The sequence below is a fragment of the Homo sapiens genome, chromosome 1, assembly GCF_000001405.40.
Source record: "Homo sapiens chromosome 1, GRCh38.p14 Primary Assembly".
In the NCBI taxonomy this organism is placed as follows: domain Eukaryota; kingdom Metazoa; phylum Chordata; class Mammalia; order Primates; family Hominidae; genus Homo; species Homo sapiens.
The window spans coordinates 18,790,308-18,795,089 of record NC_000001.11 but is presented as its reverse complement, the minus strand read 5'-3'; the positions used below and the strand labels follow the sequence as shown (position 1 = coordinate 18,795,089).

Below are 4,782 nucleotides of genomic sequence, written 5' to 3'. Positions count from 1 at the left end.
CGGTGGCTTGCTCACCTATCGACCCATCATCTAGGTTTTAAACCCTGCATGCATTAGGTATTTGTCCTAATCTAAGCCTTAGTTTTGGATAAGGGAAGACTGGGAAAGCCACATGGGGTGTGGAAGGGGAGCTGAGATTTCAGAGGTGTGGAAAGTGCCCCGGAAGCCTGCTGGTCTGTGCTGCAGGCAGACAGCAGGCCCAAGCTTTCTGTGCTCTGGCTAATTGAATTAACTCTTAGCACTTGAGCTGCCAATGCCCCCAGCTCTAGGTTTCTCACATTCAGCCAACTACGACAGTAATTTAGGAAAGGGTATTACCATATTCATTTCCCCAAGGCGGCTGGAGAGAATCATCCTGCAGGTGGTGCCCCTGAGGAGGTAGACCAGATGGCTCCAGGAAGGGCTGGGCCTCCGATGGGAACTGGGGAGGTTAAGAACAGGCCGGTGGAAAAACTGCCATGAGACCCAGAGCTCCCCTCCTGTCCTCACTCTGGGGAACCCCCAGAATGATGGGGAGATCAGCCCCTGTTTGAGGGAGCTACCGGATGGGGGAGGCATAGCAATTGCCCTGATAGAGTTTCCTGTCTGATGCTTAAAACCAAACCAAAAGACAGAAACACATACCAAGAAAGGTAAAAATAAAATGAGACCTGGTTGCCGTGGACTCTGAGAGAGCATTATAGAGGCATTTGTTTTGCGTGAACTCTGGGGAGGCGGAGAGATGCCTGATTGGGCCGAGGTGCTCATGGATGGGTGGTGAGAGATGCCGGAGCAAGGGGCTTAGGAGAGCAGGTACTGGAGCCAGACTGCCTGGCTGTGTGGCCTTGGGCCTGTTATTTGACCTCTTGTGTTTCAGTTTCTTTCATCTACGAAACGGGAGGTTGTGGAGCTTAAATTAACTCATGTCTTCCGAAGAGCTTGGAACAGTGCCCGGCACATGTAAGTGCTTGACAAATAGATATTATTTAGGTTATGTCTGCTCTCCCCACTTTGCAGCGAGAAGACAGGCTCAGGGAGAAGCAGTAATTTGCCTGCAGCCCCTCAGCTTGCCGGTGGCTATACCGGGACTTGAACCCAGGCACCCTGACTCTGTGTTGGGTGATCTATTCTCTGCACCAACTGCTTTCCCACTATGCCCACATTAACGACCCTCCAGGATCCTCACAGTCGCTCCATGAAGCCATCCAGGGAGGGATTGGTGCCCCGTTCTGCAGATGAGAAACTGAGGCCCAGAGAACACTGACTATCTACAGCCGGGAACCGTATCTTATTCCCTGTAGCATCCCCAGCCCTTGGCCCATAGGCTGTGATCAGACAACACTTGTTAAGTTGAAGATGAAAAGAGGAAGGAATTGGCGTGAGGGTCGGGGGTAAATAGGGAGCTTAGGATGATTTAATGTCCTCTAGACTGGGGCTGACAATCTAACCCATTTCTTTTGCATCCCAGGCTAGCCTCTCTCTTCCTGTGCCACACAGCCCATCCCAGATTCAGACATCTGAATGGAGCTTCCACCCCAGGCCCCTCCTCGTGGCTGGAGTGTCTCATTTGCAGCCTGTACCCCTAAGCTGGGGAGGTATATGAGGACGGGATGGAGCATGGAGCCTCTGAGCCCGGGTGCTGAGGCTTCATGTTCAGGACCTTGGGAAACCTTACACCTGGCTGGGGAAGATGAAAAGCACGGCAGAACAGTGTCTGTGACATCCTGTAAATTAATCTGAGCATCCTGGGCCCCGGGCAGTACAAGCGGTGGCAGCGGGGGGAATCCTGTCTCCAGCCTTGATTAAATCACAACACGCTGCCAGTCCATACCCATTAGCACAGTCACGGAGGGCAGCTAAGGTGGAGAAGACATGGCTGATGCATGAGGGGAGGGGGCACCAGGGTGTGGGGTGCAGGGCCAGGCGGAGGCTTGGGCAGCCCAGACAGGGCAGGAGCATAAGAAGGGCTCACTGGCCTTGGCCCCGCATCTAGGCAACAGAGCTCCCCATCTCCAACCACCCTCACCTGGTGATGTAAGCTACTCCTGGGGGTCTTGGGTGGGTACCAGCTGAGCAAGTTCACTTGGTCCCTGCAGACCCCAGAGGTACTTATTCTGTATGCATAGAGGAGACTTCTCAAACTGGGTGTTGTTGGATGAGTAGGAGTTTTCTTGGCTCACTGGCCTTATCTCTTATTTTCTCCGCTTCCCATGGTTGGCTAATTCACACCTCCATGCCTTTGCACATGCCGTTCTCTCTGGCTTCTTCCTTCCCTTACTGTGCCACCTGGCAAACTCCTACATCTTGTGGAAATAAAGAAGACTGACCCAATGAGAAAAGCAAAGGCTATTTATTCTGAGCTTGCTGTAGCAAAGGAGTCAGCCTCCATCACTTGTGTTTTGGCTGAGATTCAAAGAGAGGAGCGGTGGGGTGGTGAGGGAAGAGAAGCCTCGGGTGTGGCCCGATGGGAGGCCATGGGCATGGGGAGGCTGGAGGTGGCTAACTAGAAGCGGGGCATCCCGTGTGATTGATTAGGGGTGCACATTTGGCTTTCTCTGGTTGTAAGTTGGATACAGGAACAAAAATTAGGGAAGCTGTCAGTTATTAATCAGGGCCTGACCATTTTGGGTCTATTGTTATAGAAGTTATTGTTTAGCTTTCTGGATTGTCCCTAGAGATAGCATGTGTGACTTCCAGCAGGCTGGTTTCCTGGGTTGTTTTTTCTTTTGCAGATGAGGGAGTTTGTTTCTTGGGCAGGGTGCTGTGGGTTGCGGGCTAAGTTCTATCTTCATATATGGTCTGGCCATTGTCCATTTGTATATTCAGTCTTTCAACATCGTTCAAGAACAAGATCAAGGGCCACTGCCTCCAGGAAGCCTTCCTTAGCCTCCAAGGTCAGAGTGGGTGTCCTCCTTCCATGCTCGCATACTCCTCTCCAAGGAGGCACCTTGGTCATTAGGTCAGACGATTACAGGTTTGAATCTCATTTCCTTTCCCATTAGCAGTGCGTGTCCTGAGCCATGTGACTTAACCTCTCAGCTTCCTCATCTGTAAACTGGAAGATAATAATAGCATTGAAGATTAGTTGCTTGAAAAACTGCTACTATTATTATTAGCACTATTATTTTCACCAGCCCAGCAAGCATCTGCATGGTCGGTGACCATTTGTTTATGAATCTCTTTCCTCTTTAGACGTGGGGTGGGGGGATGCTGGGAGAGAAATATCAGCTCCAGGTCCCGCCACTCCCCATCAACCACCTTCCTGGATTCAAGTGCAGCCCAGGTAATGCACAGATATTCTTACATGTCAGCCTGACCCCCACCGAACTGGAAGCTCCTTGAGGGCAAAAGTGATTTCTTATTCATCATGGTTATCTTTTTTTGAGACAGGGTCTGGCTCTGCTGCCCAGGCTGGAGTGCAGTGGCAGGACCATAGTTCACTGTAACCTCCAACTCCTGGGCTCAAGTGATCCTCCTGCCTCAGCCTCCTGAGTAGCTGGAACTACAGGTACATGCACAACCATGCAGGGCTAATTTCTTTTTTGTTTTGTAGAGACAGGGTCTCACTTATCTTCCCCGGGCTAGTCTTGAACTTCTGGCCTCAAGTGTTACTCCCACCTCGGCCTTCCAAGTGCTGGGGTTAAAGGCATGAACCACTGTACCTGGCCTCCTTTCAGGTCTTAATGCTTAGCTCAAGATCTGCCCAGGAAGGGGAGCCAAGAGGTTAACTGATAAGTGAATAAACGAGTAAGTGAATGAATGAATGAATGCACAATGTGGTCTCAGATTATCTTTTCCTTTCTTTCCCCACTTACAGGCATGAGCGGATCTCCCCTCCTTCCTTGGTTCTAACAGGGAACCTCTCTCTCTCTCTCTCTCTGTGTGTGTGTGTGTGTGTGTGTGTGTGTGTTTGGGGGTGGACAGCTGGGACCCATGCCCTTTGGGGGAGGTTTATACTGAAGGAAGGTTGGAGAAATGGGAAGAGGAGGATGGAGAGGAGAACAAGGGTTCCATTAAGGGCAGCCTTTGCCAACTGGAGCTCCTCAGTGGCAGGTCAGGCTTCCCCTAGAGGGGATAAGTTACCCATCACCAGATGTGTGTAACCAGGATCAGAGGTGCTACAGAGCCTTTGTTTCATTCATTCACTGATTTTTTTTTTTTTTTGAGGCAGGGTCTCTCTCTGTTGCCCAGGCTGGAGTGCAGTGGTGCAATCTCGGCTCACCACAACCTTCTCCTCCCGGGTTCAAGTGATCCTCCCACCTCAGCCTCCCAAGTAGCTGGGACTACAGGCACTCGCCACAATGCCAGTCTAATTTTTGTATTTTTTGTAGAGATAAGGTTTCACCATGTTGCCCAGGTTGGTTTTGAACTCCTGAGCTCAAGTGATCCTCCCACCTCAGTCTCCCAAAGTGCTGGAATTACAGGTGTAAGCCACCATGGCCAGCCATTCACTGATTTTTGTATGCATTCGTTCATTTATTGAGCACCTCTTTATGCTGATGGATAAGCAACATAAATTTTGGGGTGGAAAATTTAATCAGATCTGTGATTTCCAAAGCATGGGGTATGTGGAATGAGAACCCTATTTATCCCTCCCTGGCCAAAAGTGTCTTGATCCTATGTTACAGGAGTTTTCTGACAGCGCTCCGTCTCTCCCTCTCTCTATCTTTCTCTCACAAATCACAGAAAAGAGGAAAAAGCCATTCTCAGAAAAACACACACCTAACCACAAAGAAAGGCAGTTCTCATTAAAAGCTCAGCAACTAAGGGTGGACAAGTAGTTGTCACTTCAGGATGTCAAGG

At 50.2% G+C, this 4,782-nt stretch overlaps 2 annotated features.

Annotated features, from left to right (window-relative positions):
* Positions 1,394–1,893: an enhancer, noted in NCBI's record as "H3K4me1 hESC enhancer chr1:19119691-19120190 (GRCh37/hg19 assembly coordinates)". NCBI's record gives its function as "activates a minimal SCP1, AML or CMV promoter by ChIP-STARR-seq in primed H9 embryonic stem cells {active_cell/tissue: H9 hESC(primed)}" and the evidence as "EXISTENCE:reporter gene assay evidence [ECO:0000049][PMID:30033119]".
* Positions 1,894–2,395: an enhancer, noted in NCBI's record as "H3K4me1 hESC enhancer chr1:19119189-19119690 (GRCh37/hg19 assembly coordinates)". NCBI's record gives its function as "activates a minimal SCP1, AML or CMV promoter by ChIP-STARR-seq in primed H9 embryonic stem cells {active_cell/tissue: H9 hESC(primed)}" and the evidence as "EXISTENCE:reporter gene assay evidence [ECO:0000049][PMID:30033119]".